The 19,632-nt window shown below is 36.1% G+C and overlaps 1 protein-coding gene across 3 annotated transcripts in view, besides 1 other annotated feature; it reads left to right on the top strand.

Moving 5' to 3' along the window:
* CCDC80 (coiled-coil domain containing 80) overlaps positions 1–9,283 on the top strand; it is a 44,347-nt gene extending 35,064 nt beyond the window's left edge. For all 3 annotated transcript variants that reach the window (NM_199512.3, NM_199511.3, XM_047447495.1), the window contains one exon: positions 317–9,283. In NM_199512.3, coding sequence (NP_955806.1) covers positions 317–663 — 347 coding nt within the window. In that variant the 3' untranslated portion in view covers positions 664–9,283. The remainder of the gene's footprint in view (positions 1–316) is intronic.
* Positions 2,023–2,192: an enhancer, noted in NCBI's record as "experimental_64338 CRE fragment used in MPRA reporter constructs". NCBI's record gives its function as "activates a minimal promoter by MPRAs in K562 erythroleukemia cells, with activity observed for both the introgressed and non-introgressed 3:112322820 variant alleles {active_cell/tissue: K562}" and the evidence as "EXISTENCE:reporter gene assay evidence [ECO:0000049][PMID:34662402]".

The following is a 19,632-nucleotide window of genomic DNA, read 5'->3' as shown; positions in this document are numbered from 1 at the left end:
AATCCTTGTTAGTGACAAATTTTAAAGAAATTAGTCTTGCCAGGATTAAATTAAGGAATTGGTTTTATACTTTGTAACATTCCTACAAAAGACACATCGAGTGCCCCAAAGTTTGACCCTAATCGTGTTGCAGAAAGCAGGGACATTTAATTTCTAGTAGAAAAAGCCCCAGCAAACTTCTTTAATTAGATTTTGAACTAAAGAGAAGAGGCTCATGGGTCCTCCCTATTCTCACAGTAATTTCCTCACACTTTAATGTTTTCATGGGCTCTGACTGTTTAATCTACTAACAATAACTATTCCAATGTTATTCTAGGGAGCTCTGTTGTTGAGCGAGAAGACGTACCAGCCCATTTGGTGAAAGACATTCGTAACTATTTTCAAGTGAGCCCGGAGTACTTCTCCATGCTTCTAGTCGGAAAAGACGGAAATGTCAAATCCTGGTATCCTTCCCCAATGTGGTCCATGGTGATTGTGTACGATTTAATTGATTCGATGCAACTTCGGAGACAGGAAATGGCGATTCAGCAGTCACTGGGGATGCGCTGCCCAGAAGATGAGTATGCAGGCTATGGTTACCATAGTTACCACCAAGGATACCAGGATGGTTACCAGGATGACTACCGTCATCATGAGAGTTATCACCATGGATACCCTTACTGAGCAGAAATATGTAACCTTAGACTCAGCCAGTTTCCTCTGCAGCTGCTAAAACTACATGTGGCCAGCTCCATTCTTCCACACTGCGTACTACATTTCCTGCCTTTTTCTTTCAGTGTTTTTCTAAGACTAAATAAATAGCAAACTTTCACCTATTCATGAGTTATTATTGAAACCTCAAATCATAAAGACATTTAAAAGAATTGTTTTTCTAACTGGAGGGGCTCTAGTGCTAAATAATAGTACTGAAAATTGATATTATTTTCCTTTTCTTATATGAAGGACCTTATTTGGCATATAAAATTTTATAAAATATGTATTTAAAGCTTTTTCTTATTTTTTGTATTAATTGGTAAGTGAAAACTCTGTTAAAGATCACACCACAATGTTTTCAAGAAACATCTGAAAAGATAAAACAAAGAACAAATAACTTATAATACTTACTTAAATTGACACTTTTTGAAATGCCAGTCTGAAAATAATTAAGATATCTCTGCTTTGTATGAGTTTCTTTTATGAAACTTGATACCACGGGAGTCCAGTAATATTGGCCACAAAAGCCAGAGAAAGTACCAAGCCCAGCTTTGTTATCATAGCCACTTCCTGCCCTGCTTCTGTTATTTTTAGTGTTTTTTCAGATATAAATCGGGGTCCAGGAAATCCTCACCAGAATCTGGCACTGCAGCCAAAGGCGATACTTCCAGAGTTCTAGTAGGCTGCTATGGAATTTCTGGCATGAAAATTCTTGACCCCTCACACTTTACCCCCTGTACAGCACAGGCATACCATGGAGATATTACAGGATCAGTTCCAGACCACCATAATAAAGTGGATATCGCAATAAAGTGAGTCACACAAAATTTTTGGTTTCTCAGTGCATATAAAAGTTATGTTTACACTCTTTAGTAGTCTATTAAGTGTATAATAGCTTTATGTCCAAAAAATGTACATGTTTTATTTTAAAAATACTTTATTGCTAAAAATTGCTAATGATCATAATCTTTTTGCATTGATGTTGATGGCTGCTGAATGATCAGGGTGGTGGTTACTGAAGGTTGGGGGTGATGGTGGCAATTTCTTAAAATAAGACAGCAATGAAGTTTGCCACTTCGATTGACTTTTTCTTCATGAAAGATTTCTCTGCAGCATGTGATGCTGTATGATAGCATTTTACCAGTAGTACAACTTCTTTTGAAATTGGAGCCAATCCTCTCAAACCCTGTTGCTGCTTTATTAATGAAATTTATGTAATGTTGTAAATCCTTTGTTGTCATTTCAATAATGTACATAGCAACTTACGCGAGTAGATTCCATCTCAAGAAATCACTTTCTTCGTTCATTCATAAGAAGCAAGTCTTCATCTATTAAACTTTTGTAATGAGATTGCAGCAATTCAGTCACATCTTCAGGCTCCACTTCTAATTCCAGTTCTCTTGCTATTTCCACTATGTCTATAGCAGAGCTTCCTCCAATGAAGTCTTGGGCCTCTTAAAATCATCCATGAGGGATGGAATCAGTTTCCGAACTCATTGATCTTCCTATTTTGACCTTCTCCCATGAATCACGATGTTCTTAACAGCATCTAGAATGGTGAATCCTTTCCAGGTTTTTAATTTGCTTTGCCCAGATCCATTAGCGGGATCACAATCTGTGACAGTTATAGTCTTACGAAAAGTGCAAATGACTCCTTGATTCCTGTGCTGCACAATAGGTATTGTGTTAGCAGGCACGAAAATATTAATCTCCTTGTATATCTCTATCCAAGTTCTTGGGTGACTGGGTATATTGTCAGTGAACAGCTATATATATATATATTATAGTGGTCTGGAACTGATCATTTATATATATATTTTATATACATATATAAAATATATAATATATATTATATATATATATATTTTTTTCGAGATGGAGTCTCGCTCTGTCACCCAGGCTGGAGTGCAGTGGTGCGATCTTGGCTCACTGCAACCTCTGCCTCCGGGGTTCAAGTGATTCTCCTGCCTCAGACCCCTGAGTAGCTGGATTTACAGGCGCCCACCACTACACCCAGCTTATTTTTGTATTTTTAGTAGAGATGGGGTTTCACCATGTTAGTCAGGGTGGTCTCGAACTACTGACTTTGGCCTCGGCCTCCCAAAGTGCTGGGATTACAGGCATGAGCCACTGCGCCCGGCCCGAACAGCAATATTTTTAAAAGATTCTTTTTTTTTCTGAGCAGTAAGACTCAAAAAGTGAGCTTAAAATGTCCAGTAAACCATGCTGTCCATAGACATGCTGTCATTCAGGCTTTGTTGCTCCATTTATAGAGCACAGGCAGATTAGATTTAGCATAATTCTGAAAAGTCGTAGGATTTGGGGAAATGGTAAATGAGCATTGATTTCAACTTAAAATCACCAGCTGCGTTAACTTCTAACAAGGAGTAAGCCTGTTGGTTGAAGCTTTGAAGTGAGGCATTGACTACTCCTCTCTAGATACGTAAGTCTGAGATGGCATCTTCTTCCAATATAAGGCTGTTTCATCTCTTTTGAAAATCTATTGTTTAGTGTAGCCACTTTCATTAATTATCTTAACTAGATCTTCTGGATAACTTACTGCAGCTTCTACATCAACATTTGCTGCTTTACTTTGCACTTTTATGGATGCACAAGGCTTCTTTTCTTCAAACTCATGAACCAGACTCTGCTACCTTCAAACTTTTTTTCTGAAGCTTCCTCACCTCCCTTTAGCTTTCATAGAATTGAAGAGAGTTAGGGCCTTGCTCTGAACTAGGCTTTGGCTTAAGGGAATTTTGTGGCTGGCTTGATCTTCTATTCAGATGACTCAAAGTTTCTCCATATCAGCAGTAAGGCTGTTTTACTTTTTTATCATTCATGCATTCACAAAGTAGCACTTTTAATTTCCTTCAAGAACTTTTCCTTTGCATTTACAACTTGGTTGTTTGGCATAAGAGGCTTAGCTTTCAGCCTGTCTCAGCTTTTGACACACCTTCCTCACTAAGCTTATTCATTTCTAGCTTTTGATTTAAAGTGAAAGATTGCAACTTCCTCTCACTTGAAATACCTGGAGGCTATTTTAGGGTTATTAATTGATCTACTTTCAATATTGTGTCTCAGGGACTAAGGAGGCCTGAGAAGAAGGAGAAAGATTGGAGAAAGGTTGGTTGTTGGAGCAATCAGAACATACACACATTTATTAAGTTTACTGTGTTATATAAGTGTGGTTCATGGTGCCCCCAGTAATTATAATAGCAACATCAAAGATCGTTGACTACAGATTTTAATAACAGAGATAATAATGAAACAGTGTGAAATATGGCAAGAATTACCAAAATGTGACACAGAGACATAAAGTGAGTACATACTATTGCAAAAATGATGTCAACAGACTTCCTTGATGCAGGGTTGCCACAAACCTTCAATTTGTAAAAAATGCAGTATCTGAGAAGTATAATAAAATAAGATGTGCCTGTACTTACTTGCTAATGGACCTATTACCATACTGGCATCTTATAAAAAAAATTACAAGGAAGGAGATTATATCCAGGGATTCTTTTTGTTTTCAAGGCAAAGGTTACCAAGTTACAATGGACCAAAGTAGCTGGAATGCAAAGGAGTATAATCCTTGTCTTTGAAAAAAGAGCATTTGTTTCAATCATATGGCATATCAAAGTAAACTTTCTCCCTTCCTCCCTCCTTTCGTTGCTGCTGCTTCTTTTTTTTCTCTTTTTTTTTTTCTTTTTTTGGAGAGGGTCTCACTCTGTCACCCAGGCTGCAGTGCAGTAGTGCAATCTTGGCTCACTGCAAACTCAGCTTCCCTCAAACAATCCTCCCACCTCAGCATCCCAAGTTAGCTGGGACCACAGCCATGCTCCACCATGCCCAGCCATCCTTGCTTCTTTACTACATTTCTTTTTTCAACAAATATTTATCAAGTAATATTGTCAAGTAATATTTATGAGCTTCCCCTCAGATAGGCATTTAGCATCATGATGGCACCATCCTCTAACAATAATGGGAAGGCTATTTTCCACTGTTATTAATCATTAATTCTCCAAATCATTTTAGTATTATTATTAATTCTAATAAGTACAGAGATTAATAAATGCATTCAAACCACATGTGAATATTTGCTATAGGTTTATCTGTGCCTACTGTATGTTCAGATTTTTCTTTATATCTGAACTTTGTTATAAATAAATGACAGTAAAAATGGAATTTATAGTTCAATGAACTTGACAAATCACTTATTCTGCCATTCATTTTCCATAAAGACCATTCATTCTTCCTTGTTTTACAGGTAACTGAGCTCCAGAAAGCTCAAGTGACTTTAGAACTCAGTTCTTAGTGTGTGAATTATGCTCCCATCTCATCCCTCTTCCTTGATGGAGCACTTTCCTCCTCATTTTTTCTTGGATAGTCTGTACAAGCTGCCTGAGGTGTGCAGGAAAGTGAGCCACGTCGAAGTGTACTGCTTTTAAATTTTTGCCAGGATGAAGCATAGCCCAAAGTTGCCAATAAAAATGGATTTCTTTACCTTTCTGAAATTGTGTGATGACAATTTCTAAGTAAAGGACCCAAATCATGTCAACTTCAGGAAATATAATAATGAGGGAGCCAGGAGCAGTGAGGGGCTCACACCTGTAATCCCAGCACTTTGGGAGGCCAAGGTGAGCGGGTCGCTTGAGCCCAGGACTTCGAGACCAGCCTGGGCAACACGGCAAAACCCTGTCTCTACAAAAAAATACAAAAAATTAGCTGGGTAAGGTGGTGTGTGTCTGTGGTCCCAGCTATTCAGGAGGCTGAAGTGAGAGAATCGCTTGAGCCTAGGAGGTCGAGGCTTCAGTGTGCCGTGATCGTGCCACAGCACTCCATCATCATCATCCTGGGTGACAAAGTGAGACCCTGTCTCCCCACCAAAAAAAAGAGGGAGTTTCATCTCCCAAGAAAATGAATTAGATAGGAATAATAGAAAATTTACTCTCAGAATAATAGGGTTCTAGCTCCTGCAACCAAAAAAAGATAGTTCTTTTTTACAACCTGAGATTACTTTTTCAAGCATTTCTCCAGTTCCACTGGCATTGAAATAATAGTTAGCAATGCATCTGAGCTTTTCTTCCTCTAATGAGCAGGCAGAGAAGTCATAGATCATCATTTGGAGGACTATAAAATAAGACATAGCTTAGCAAAAGGACCAAAATACATTCAGAGGAGGATGCTATTGGTGAATGTCCTCAAAGCCTATAATCTGGAAAAATACAAGGCATATCTCTGAAACTGTGAGGATTAGCAAACTAGCTAACCTGAATCTCTGTCTTCTGGTAGTATAAACTAGGTAGTTTCAAATCTGAGTAGTTTCTCCATAAAAGCATTTCTTCCCAAACGTTTCTTACCAAACTCCCAAATAAATGAGAAAAATAAAATACAGTTTTATAATTTTTGAGAAAGATTATGGGATTATGGTATTTAAAAAGAAAAGCATTCTGTAGAGTTGGGGAAATCTGGAAGACTCTTGAGGACATAGCTTTGCCGAAATTGCTGGTTGTCACAAGACTCTTCAAAAACTACTTTTCATCAGACATCTCCCAGGGCTCTGAGGTGAATATTAATTCAGCAGAAAGATCCTTTTCTGCTACATAGGCAGGAGGTCCAGACACAGGGGAGTGGGTGCAACCCAGCTGGTCCCATTTTCTGTAATATAATTAACAATGAAGCTCATACTTTCTCAACTTCTAGAAGCCTGGAGGATGGAAGCAGCCCGAGAGTAGGGTGAATGATGGCCTCAGTGGGCCCTTCTTAATGTGTCTCAGTACTGAATGTGTGGAGATTGTAGAAAAATAGAAGGCCCTTGGAAAAAACCTCTGTTCGTTTCTCTGTTCGTTTCGCTCCCTGATCTCCCTGCCGGATTGCTTTTCTTTCCTTTCTCTTCCTTGGCTGTCCTTTACCTCATGGTGTGGGGTGTGCAGATAGCAGGTTGTGGCTTGGTGAGTGCTCTTCACTTCAGGTCAAGGTGAGGCACAGTTAACATGCTAACTACTTTCCTCAGTTCTCTCTGAGTTGTGTAAAGCTCCCGATGCCAGACTTCCTCTTAATTTTGCACATTATTAAAGTCCAAAGAGTTAAGATTTGGTGATGAGGGGCAAAGGGCCAGCTGTCACAGAAATCAATGAAATGATACACAGAAATGGGTATCATGAAAAGGCCACTGGACTTGGGAAAACTGGGTGCCTGTCCTTGCCCTGCCATGTACTTACCTGTGTGACTGGAGGTGAGATGTTTTACCTATGGGCCTCAGTTTCTCATTACAAAATGACAGAGAAGACTAGATACCTAAGTTCCTAAGTTTGTGACATTTGTGAATTTTTCTTGGCCCTCTGTGAGTAGAGTGCTAAATTTAGAGGCTTCCTGTGGTTGAACTGATGTCCAATTCTCAGGGAACCCAGACTTCTCAGTTCAGAACCCAGTTCCAGATTTTTGTGGGAATAGGGAAAGGTATTAAATAACTCCATTGAATTCTTTCCTGCATAATGCCCTGCTGTGGCTGAGACTCAATGAGGTCATCACCTCCAACACACAGAACCCCTCATCATCTCCTTACAGCCAGACTGGAGCTTCCAAGGACATCAGGTTGGCAAGGATTGTGAGTACCCTAAACATCTAAAGAGGCCCTCTAATAAGGGACATATTTGTTCTTCAACAGTTTCCTAACTTGAGACCACAAATGCGTAATCTCTCTAATATCCTAAAGCTTGGACAAACTGGGCAGCCCCTGAGCAGACCGCACAGAGCTTAAATGTCAGTGCTTTCCTTCCAGAAAGAAAAAGAATGGTCCTACACCTCCCAATCCATGGGCTGATACATATGCCAAGGGAGCCGGATGAAGAAGTGGGTGATTTTAAATAGCTAAGACTGCCCATGGGCAAACGTTCTTTGGCTTTTCTCCTCTGCAATAAGTATACCTTCCTCTCTCCTGGTCCTTTTCTCCTTTCCCAGGCCCCTCTATCAATAATAATTCTGGCTCTCAGATGACTACAGTTGATTAGGTGGAACTGATAGGATAAAGGTGACACCCTTCCCAAGGCTATCTATAATGCAAAAAGATATCCAAGAAAAAGAGAGGTAGGGAACACCTTGGGAAACCATTTCTGGAAGACAGCCAGTCCCTGCTGTAGACAAGCCTCATTTTCCTTCCCCCAAATGTTAAAGAGTAAATTCCTCCTGTAGCCTTAGCTCTCTTTTCTATCTTTGGCTTGCTTTTTATGAACTATCTTTAGAGTGCCAAATTAGAACAGGGTAGGCAGAGGCAGGAATATGCCCAAATTTGGGAAGACCTGGTTGGGAATAGTCGAAAGCCTTGATATGTGCAAAGAAAGAACCATTTGATCAACCCAGTTCTTAATACAGGATACTAACTTAAAATTTAGACTCAAGTTATACGATAATTCAAACATTTATTGTATTTATACTATTCTATATGTACTTTTCCAGGAACCAGGAATACAAAACTGACATTTCTCTGTACAGAGGCTCAGACTAGTAGAGAACAGTTAGGTACGCCGTTAATTATAAACTAATATGTATCATCAATTATGGGTTTTTATGGGGGTTTGGCAGGTGGAAGGGACCAGGGAGAGATGATGAGTGATGATGGTTATGTAGTCTTTAGGAGGATGCAATTATAACATTGCTCTTCCTTTCACGCACCACATGATTTAGCAAGTACTTCATATTGGCTCCACCATTAACATGGTCAATGGCTTCTGGATACTCACAGTTCAGGCACAGTTTCTCCTGAAGATTTTTTACCTCTCCCATCTTTAAGAAATTGTCTGGATGTCCATGAAAGATGCTGACACTTGTATTAATTCATTAAAAAACACCACCCCCTCCCTGAAATAAACTAAAAAGTAATGAATTCATAGAAAAAAATTTCACCAAGATTGAAACTAGAGAATATACCTAGACTTGCACTTTGAGCTTTGAGAAATGTGTACCTATTCACCATTCCAACGTGAAGAAGCTCTGCAGTAGGAAAAATAATTAACACACTTATAGTCTACTGCCCATGTAAGGATCAGCTCCGGCTAAGAGGCCAAAGATGGGTGACATCGTTATGCTCTGCCTTTATTTTTTCTTTCTTACCCACTTAGCTTCCTAATTGGAGGAAGGAGGCGTGGTAAAGGTATATGAAGACTATGGTTTAATTAGACCAGAAAACACTGTCATAATCTCTGGGGTCATCAGAATGTCCAGTTTTGTCTTTGGGCCAAGATAAGGGCAGTGGGATTTATGATGTGTTGTTTATAGTCTGAAACTACTCTGGTGATCACCAGGGTCAGTTTCTTTAATGATGGTTTCCAACTGGCCTAATACATTAAGTAAGACTGGCTGATAACATGACCAGACAGACATAAAGACCCTGTTGGGAATGACATTGAACTCTCAAAGTCAAGATTTCTTACACAAATCTATCAGCTGGAGAAAATGAAGGCAGTGTGGTATATGTGTGCAAATAAGGACATTATGAAGCTTAAATATGGAATGTCTCTTGGACCCCCGATGTCATCTGTATTCTCTTTTTCTTCTTGTACTATATCCTTTGCCTGTAAATAAAAGGTTTATTTGATTATGCTGTGTGGAGTCTGGTTTTGCAGGGCAGAATATATATATTAACATATATACAAAATATTAAATCTAAAATGTTAAAATAGTTTATATTGTACGTTAAACGTATAAGACATAAATATAAAACATACAAAATATTATATAGTATTTATAAGTATAAAATATAAAAAATTCTAATTACCAATTTCACAGCTTTAGAGAAAAGTTGTGTGCTGCTTTCAAGGAACTTCACTTAACCAGATTTCTCACCAAATTAGGGGGCTTAATCTAAAACAAGAGAAGAAACTAAAATTCAACTGATACTCCCTCCTCACAAACAGGAGACAGTAGTAATTGTATCTGTGTGGAACTGGCTCTCAAAGCAGGAGTTTCAAGCAATGTAGAGGAAAAGCACACACCCACAAAATTCCCTCATTGCAATTTTCTATGGCTCCTGCCTTCCTTCCACATCCTTGAAGTAGCTTCCAGCCCTTTAGAATAAGTTAAAGATGGCATTCAAACATTGGTCAGGAAAAGAGGGATTAGGTAAGGAAGATTCTATCTATGCTATTTTTTTCTGGCAAATATTAGGCCCAATTGGAATGTTAAACTCTGTTTAAATATGAGTACACAGGAACCTTAAATAAAGGGCCTATATAAAAGGCATACAAACACTCAAAAAATTGCTTACCTACAAAGAAAACACACACACACTTAAAATAGAGCAGGGAAACCTTTAACGTCTTGGTAATTCTACATGAAACAAAAAAGATTAATTTCTGATGGAAAAAAAGGGTGACTCAAATCATTTTCCAGACAAGCTGTCCCTTGTATTAAATGGCTATAGAAAGTAACAAAAAATGCAAAACCTCTTTGAGTAGTAAGATGAATAGAAAAAATCTGGAGTTAGTAGATAATTATTAGATGCTGAAGATAGATAGATAGATAGATAGATAGATAGATATATATATATATATATATATATATATATACCAAACCTCAGGAAATTTATCAGTCAAAACTCTTTTCAGAAAAGAAAAATCTATTTTAAGACTGCTTCCAGCTGATAGATGAATTAGCATTAAAAAGTTATGAATGAGGAAGTTATGTCATGAACAAATTAAGTTTAATTAGTTGTGATAACTGGGATTAATAAACTAAAAGGCAAACTATTCATTCTTGAAAAAAAACTATATATAGTAAAACATTTTTTAAAAGGAACTTCCAAGTTAACAAATTATGACAGCATAAATTCCAAGTGGCACCACAATTTTATATCCCACTAAGAAAGTACGCTGCTAACTAAAAACAATGCCTTTTTATTACTTAGAATTTTTATTTTATATTTGTTTAAAGTGTGCTTAAAGACTGATTTATCATGTATCACTCTCTAATAACATAAAAGGGAAACAATAAGCTAAATAAATTAATAAAGCTATTCCTAAAACATTTTCCCATTTCAAGCCAGAATCTTTTGAATCACTATTTGATTCATTGCTGTAGATGTCTGAAGTTTTCCACACAGAATAGTTCTCTGCACCATTGAGAGAACTGATGATGATGCCTAATTTCTTAAGGGAGTTTCTCTGCTGTCTCCAGGACTTTTTCTCTAAGCCATCAATATCCATTCTGTATAATTTGAGGCTGTCATGTTCTTGTTCTTAACAGGAGGCATCAAAGGAAGATTTTCAGACAAGTAACACCTTTATTCTCTCCTCAAATGGTCCTTAAGTGGTGTGTTGACTGAAATGTCAAGAAGTTGTACTTATTCAGTCATGCCAAATACCTGCATGCACAGGCAAAGACAGCTTAATCACTACCATCACAAGGCAGCAGCTATTTTAACATGCGATTGTTTAAAACATCCCAATTTCAGAGATAGTAATATGTTAAAACACGAGTCTTAGAATTGATGCAATAGAGGACAGTAGACCTGGACAAAATACCCAGAGCTTATTAAGACAAACTGGGAGTTGGGAGGAAACACATCCTAAGTTCCTCATCTTTCAGTGAAGACAGTACATTAATAATTTTATTTTTTGAACTTGATAACATCATTTAGTTCTAAGTTGCTTTTAAAAATGCAAAACTAGTCACTAGTAATAAAACAGACTAGGAGTATAGGTGTAATACATTTCAAATATTATAAAAAGCTTTCAGACCAGTTAAAAATACCAAACCAATACCAACTTTCTCAAAAAAAATTATTGAGTACTAAAGATAGGCCAAACTACACCTAATAATTCAATAAAAATATGCAAGTAACAATAATTAATATAACATTATTAATGATACCAATATTAACATTAGTATCACTATATTAACATCAGCAATATTGTCATATAATATTTACATTATAAAAAATGCAAACAGTATTATCCATAATAATATTGACAAATAGAATTTAATATTAAATAGCATTAGATGGGAAAAAGTGGTAACTTTCAATTATTAAGGACATATATAAATCAGTTAAGATATAACTGGCATGAAGCTTTTTGCACCAAAAAAAAAAAATGGTGAATGATACAAAATAAAAATAGCCAGAAATAAAATACAAGGGGAAAATAACAATAACCTTATAATAAATTTTGTGCTAAGAAACAGAGAGCATATCTTCTGTTTAAATGCTCATGAAACATTCACAAATTTGTTATAAAGGAAATAGTCATAATTCTATAAAAGGTAGACTATAGATATCACCCTTTAACCAAAGATATAAAAACTAGAAATTAATCATTAACAAAAATTGAGGTTATTGTGAATAAAAACTTCAAACACACTACCCTTGACTCGAAACAGAATAGTTGGAAAATAATGATAATAATAATATTATATTTCAAAGTCTTTGAAGATTGGCCTAAGGTATACATACTTGAAGCAATGATTCTACTAGTTATAAATATATTAACTAATAAATAAGAAAAAAAATGTATTTCAACTACACATAAAAGATATTAGAGCATAAACCCTAGGAAAAAACAAGATATACTTTAATAAAGCAAGAATTAATTAAAGAGAGGATTCTAGGAAGATGACAGAGCAAGAAGCTCTGGAAATCTCTCTCCCCACTTAGACAACAGTACTGCACTGGCAGAATCTGTTTGATATGGCTGTTTTGGAACTCTGGAGTCTACTCACTGCTTACAATTTCCAAGGGAAGGCTTGGACTGTAAATTATCTTAAATTTTGGTCAATTACAGCTCTTAGCACAGCAACAGCTTCCCATTCAACACTCCTTACCCCTGAGGCAGGTAATTATGCCTGTGTTCCTAAAATAGCCTGCAAACAGCTTATGGTATAGGACTCAGGAGAGCATCCTGCAAAAAATTACCCTGTCATCCAAATATTGGATATCTGTGCACTGATCACTGATTGCTGCTTCTGATCACACAAAAGCAGACAAAATGGTGGCAGCTAATGGTGTTACACTTCCTCTCATTGTTCTAAGCCACTTTCTCTTGGATTGAAGTGACTTCTAGGGGATTTAAAAGGCTGGGGCCCTTTTCCTTCTCCCCATCCACTTCAATTTTTCTCTTTCCTCCCTTTTGGGAAACTTTCTGGAGCTGAAAGGTACAAAAACTGAAATAAAAAATTCACTAGAGGAACTCAGAGACAGATTGGAGCAGGTGGAATAAAGAATCAGGAAACCTAAACACACAACAATGAAAATTATTGAGTCTGAGAACAGAAAGACTAAAGAAAATTGAACAGAGACCAAGGGACCCATGGAACATCTTCAAGCAGACAAACACACTCATTATAAGAGTTCAAAAGGAAAAGAGAAAGGGCCACATAGAGTATTTGAAAAAATAATGACTGAAAACTTTTCAAATCTGATAAAAGCCATGAGTATAAATATCCAAGAAACTCAATGAAATCCAAGTAGCAAGAACCCAAAGAGACCCCTACCGAGATACATTGTGTCTAAACTGTTGAAAGACAAAGACAAACAGAGAATTTGGAGAGCAGCAAGAAAAAAGCAACTCATTATAAACAGGGATTCCCAATAAGATTATTAGCAGATTTGTCATCAGAAACTCTGAAGACTAGAAGACAGTGGGCTAATATATTTAAAGTGCTAAAGGAAAAACAAAACAAAACAAAACAAAAACCTGCTAGCCACGAATTCTCTATCTGGCAAAACTGTCCTTCAAAAGTGAGGGAGAAATAGGCATTCACCAATGAACAAAAGCTGAGGGAGTTTGTTGCCACTAGACCTGCCCTGTAAGAAGTGCTAAAGGAAGTTCTGTAAGTTGAAAAGGAAGGACAGTAGCCAAGAGGAAATGAGAAAGAAATTTAAATGTTTCACCACAATAAAATTAACACAAAAGAAGACATTAATGCAAAAAACGAGAGGAAAACAGCTTTAAGACATATGTAAAACAAATAGCAAAATGATAAAAGTAAGTCCCTCTTTATCAGCAATTACTTTAAATGTAATAGGTTAAACTGGAGAGACATAGACAAAAGACATACATAGGCAGAATGGATTTTTTAAAAACCACAATCCAACTATCTGCTTTCTACAGGAGATTTACTTTAGTTCTAAAGGCACAAATAGGTTAAAAGTGAAAGAATGAAAAAGAGTATTCTATGCAAATAATAACCAAAATAGAGCAGTGGTGGCTATATTAATGCCAGATGACATAAAGTTTAAATCAAAAATGATTATGAGAGACAAAGAAGGATATTATATATTAATAAATGGTTCAACATAGTAAGAAGATATAACTGTAGACATTTACGTATCTAATAACAGACCATCAAAGAATATACAGCAAAAATGGACAGAATTGAAAGGAGAAATAGAAATGTCTACAATAATATTTGCAGAATTCAATATCCCACTCTCAATAATGGATAGAACAACTAGACAGAAGATAAGTAAGGAAACAGAGGGCTTGAACAACACAATAAATTACCTAGATTTAACAGACATGTACAGAACACTCTATATATCAACAACAGAATACAAATTCTTTTGAAGTGCACATGGGGCATTTTCCAGGATAGAACATACATAGGTCACAAATTATGTCTCAATAGATTTTAAAAGATAGACGTCATACAAGTATCTTCTTTGACCATAACAGAATAAAGTTACAAATCAATAACAGAAGGAAAACTGAAAAATTCACAAATTTGAGGAAATTAGACAACATACTCTTAACCAATGGATCAAAGAAGAAATCACAAAGGAAATTTTAAAATATTTAGAAATGAATGATAATGGAAATATATACCAAACTTATGGGATACAATAAAAGGAATGCTAAGGAGAACATTTATAGCTATAGAAACATTTAAAAAAAAAACAAGATTTGAAATGAAAAACCTAACTTTACAACTTAAGGAATTAGAAAAAGAACAAAATTACCCCATACTAGCAGAAGAACGGAGCTGAGCAGAAATGAATGAAATAGAAAATAGGAAAATAATCCAGAAAAACAACAAAAGTTGTTTCTTTGAAAAGATCAACAAAATTGACAAACCTTTAGGTAGATGGACTAAGAAAAAAGAGAGAAGATTACTAAAACATACAAATGAAAGTGGGGCCATTACTACTGATTCTACAGAAATAAAAAGAATTATAAGAGAGTACTATCAGCAACTGTACACCAACAAATTGGATAACACACATGAAATGGACAAATACCTAGAAACATAAAACCTACCAAACCAAGTCACAAAGAAATAGAAAACCTGAGTAGACTTAGAAAGGAGATTGAATCAGTAATAAAAAAACGATCAACATAGAAAAGCTCTGGACTGGAGGGCTTCATTGGTGAGTTTTACAAACATTTAAAGAACTAACACCAATCCTTCTCAAACATTTTCAAAAACTTGAAGAGGAGACAACACTCCCTAACTAATTCTAAGAGGCCAGGATTACCATGATACCAAAGCCAGGCAAATACACCACAAGAAAATGAAACTACGGACCAATATCTCTTATGAACAAAACTACAGACCAATATCTCTTATGAACATGTAAAAATCCTCATCATCCACAGAGAGCAAGTGTAGATAAACTCAGAACATGCCTGAGACCTGGTTAATTAATAATACTGACTTCTGGGGAGTTGAAAAGAAGGGACTTCATGGTACAGAGGATCAAAGCTGCCAATGTTGGGAAAGGCAGATTGCTGGGGAAAGGAGTGAGATCTGGACCAAGGTAGCATCCTCTGGAAACTTGTGATGAAGGTAAGAATGAAGAAACTGGTAAAAATTAAAGGTCCTACTAGAACAAAATAGAATCTCTGAATCAGAAAACACACTATGCCTATGCTCCAAAACATTTACTTTTATTAGAGTAACTGCATGTGCACACGTGCACACATGCACGCATGCACACACACACACACACACATTCTCAACAAAACAGTAGCAAGCTGAATTCAGCAGCATATTAAAAAGATTATACACTATGACCAAATGGGATTTATTCCTGGAATGATCAATGCAATATGTAACATTAACAGAATGAAGAAAAACCATGTGATTATCTCAATTCATGCAGAAAAAGCATTTGATTCCCTTTCATGATAAAAACCCTTAGAAACGTAGACAAAAACTACAACATCCAATCCATCCAATCCATATATACAACAAACAATCCATACAATCCATACGTAAAAAACGCACCCCAAATATCATAAGCAATGGTGAAAGACTGAAAGCTTTTCCTCTACAATCAGGAACAAGGCAAGGATCTCCACTTTTGTCACTTCTATGAAACATAGCACTGGAAGTCTTAGCTAGAGCAATTAGGCAGAAAAAAAAATGCAAGGCATTCAAATTGAGAAGAAGTAAAATTATCTCTGTTTGCAGATGATATGATCTTATGTGCAGAAAACCCTAAAGATTCCACAAAACCACCACTAGAACTAATAAATGAATTTAGCAAAGTATCAGGATACAAAGTCAACACAAAAAATCTGTTGCATTTCTATATACTAACAATGAACAATCCAAACAGCAAATTAAGAAAACAATTCTGTTTATAATAGCAGCAAAAAGAATAAATTACTTGGCTGAGTGCGGTGGCTCATGCCTGTAATCCAAGCACTTGGGGAAGCTAAGGTGGGTGGATCACTTCAGGTCAGGAGTTCAAAACCAGCCTGGCCAACATGGTGAAACCCCATCTCTACTAAAAATTAGCTGGGCACGGTGGTACCTGCCTGTAATCTGTTACTCGGGAGGCTGAGGCAGGAAAATCTCTTGAACCTGGGAGGTGAAAGTTGCAGTGGGCCAAGATCAGGCCACTGCGCTCCAGCCTGGGTGACAGAGTGATATTCTGTCTCAAAACAAAAACAAAAACAAAAAGAACAGAATAGATTACTTGGAAATTAACTTAACCATGGAGGTAAAAGACCTGTACAACGAAGGCTACAAAACATTTCTGAAAATTAAAGACATAAATAAATGAAAAGATATACGTAAATTGGAAGACAATTTTATTAAGCTGTCAATATTAACTAAAATGATCTACAGATTTAATGCAATCCATATCAAAATCTTAATACTTTTTTTTTGCAGAAATAGAAAAACCCATCGTAAAATTCATATAGAATATCAAGGGACCCTGCATAGCCAAAACAATCTTGAAAATGAAGAATAAAGCCAAGGACTTATACTTCTAGATTTCAAAATTGACTACAAATCTATAGTAATCAAAAGAGTACAGTACTGTCATAAAGACAGACATACAGACCAATGGAATAGAACAAAGATTCCAGAAATAAACCCTCACATATGTAGTCAAATGATTATTGACGAGGATAACAATACCAATCAGTGGGGGAACAGACAGTCTTTTCAACAAAGAGTGTTGAGAAAATTGGATGTCCACATGCCAAAGAATGAAGCTGGACCCTTACCTAACACCATGTACAAAAATAAACTCACATAAACTCAAAATGTATACAAGACCTAAGTATGAGACCTAAAACTATAAAGCTCAATAGAAAACACAAGGAAAAATTTTCACAACATTCAATTTGGCAATGATCTCTTGGATATGACACCAAAGGCACAGGCAATAGAAGAAAAAATAGACAATTTGGACTTCATTAAAATTTAAAAATTTTGTACATCAAAACATACTATCAACAGAGTAAAAAGGCAAGACACAGAATTAGGAAAAATATTTGCAAATAATATATCTGATAGGGGATTAATATCAAGATATATAGAGAACTCCTAAAACTCAACAATGGCAACAAAACAAACAACCAGATTCAAAAGTGGACAAAGGACTTAAATAGGCATTTCTCCAAAGAAGATATACAAATGACCAACAAGCACATAAAAAGATGCTCAACATCACTAATTATTAGCGCAAGGGAAATCAAGTCTACATCATCACACCCATTACCATGGCCATTAAATAAACAAAAACAAAAACAGAAAACAACAAGTGTTGGTGAGTATATGAGGAACTTGGAACCCTTGTATACTGTTGGAGGGAATGTAAAATGATAGAGCTTCTAAGGAAAACAGTATGTCAGATCCTCAAAAAATTAAAAATGTACCCTTTAATTTATAAATAATTACCATATAATACAGTAATTCCACATCCAGGTGTGTGTGTGTGTGTGTGTGTGTGTGTGTGTATGTGTGTGTATATATATATATATACACACATCAGCTATACCCACCAACATTCCCACCAACAGTATACAAGGGTTCCAAGTTCACCACATACTAACACTTGTTGTTTTCTGTTGTGTGTGTGTATGTTTTAGTGGCCATTTTAATGGGTGTGATGTGATATCTCATGGTAGATTTGATCTGTCTTTCCCTAATAATTAGTGATGTTGATCATCTTTTCATGTGCTCGTTGGTCATTTGTATATCTTCTTTGGAGAACTGCCTATTCAAGTCCTTTCCCCACTTTTCATGTATATATACTCAAAAGAATTGAAAGCAAGATCTCTAAGAGATTATTTGTACACTTATGTTCATAGCATCATTATTCACAAGAGCTAAATTGCTGTAAGCAACCCAGGTGTCCATTGATGGATGAATGGATAAAGAAATGTAGCATATACATAAAATGACATATTATTCTGTCTTAAAAAGCAAGGAGATTCTGACACACTACAACACTGATGAACCTTGAGGACATCATGCTATGTAAAAGAAGTCAGTCACAAAAGGACAAATACTGTATGATTCCACTTATAAATGAGGTATTTAGAATAGTCAAAAACATAAAGACAGGAAGTGGGATGTTGGCTGCCATAGACTGAGGGCAGGGAGGAATGGGGAGTTACTGTTTAATGGGTATAGAGTTTCAGTTTTGCAACATGAAAAGGGTTCTGGAGGTAGACAGTGGTGATGGTTGCATAATATAAATATAAAAATGTGCTTAATAACTACTGAACTGTACACTTACCATGGTTAAGACACGAAATTTTATGCTGTGCATTTTACCACAATAAAAATGGAAAAAAATAATTAGAAATAGCTAGTTAGGACCTATATTTTTACAAAATAATAGAAAAAACTTTCAGACAAAAAATTAAGAATGAGAAATAAAACAGAACTACACCAATGGGAAATTCAAAGGATTATGAGAATAAATCATAAACTCCTATGCAAATAAATTCAAAAATCTGTATGAATGGCTGATTTTTTTTAGCAAAACAAATGATCAAGAGTGAACCAAGAAGAGCAAAAGGAAGAGAGAGAGAGAATGTTGTGAGAGGGAAAAATAAAGTATCTCAAAAAAGTGCCAAGCCTAGGCAATTTTACTAGTGAGTTCTTTCAGAACTTCAGGGAACACATAAAGCTGATATTTTAAAAATCTTTCCAGGGCACCAAGGCCAATGGGAGTTAGTAGCATCCATATGGGATTGTTAGGAACATGAGTTGATAAATCCACAGCAGGACAAAATGCATGATTTGCAAAGTCAACAAGTCTGTTATCTTGACAGCCATAGGGTGGTACTTGAAGGAATTAAAACAGCAAGTGAGGGCAGAAGTTCTGCAGGACTGTTGGGGGTCTGTTATGATTCTATTTGAGCAAAATGTCACTTTCTCATTACATTCATATTTGAAATAGAAATTTATTGGTTGTAAAGCTTTGTATTTTAATTTGTAAATGTTTCGGTTTTCAGATAAAAAGCATAAGCAGTTTATACTTCATATTATGTTTGTACGTATTTAAATAACAGTAAAGTAGAAAAAAGTCCATGCTGACATTTATGACATTTGTTTTTCCGTTAAAAGGAAGTTTAAGAAACTCTGCTCTAGGTTTTAGAGAAAAAAATATCACACTTCATTGAGCTTGACTTCCTCTGCCTCTTCTCCCCACAGGAAAGGTAGATGTTCATGGGAAAAATCAGAATATAGGTAAAGGAA

The sequence above is a fragment of the Homo sapiens genome, chromosome 3 (assembly GCF_000001405.40).
Source record: "Homo sapiens chromosome 3, GRCh38.p14 Primary Assembly".
NCBI lineage: Eukaryota > Metazoa > Chordata > Mammalia > Primates > Hominidae > Homo > Homo sapiens.
This window is presented reverse-complemented; position numbering and strand designations above follow the sequence as displayed.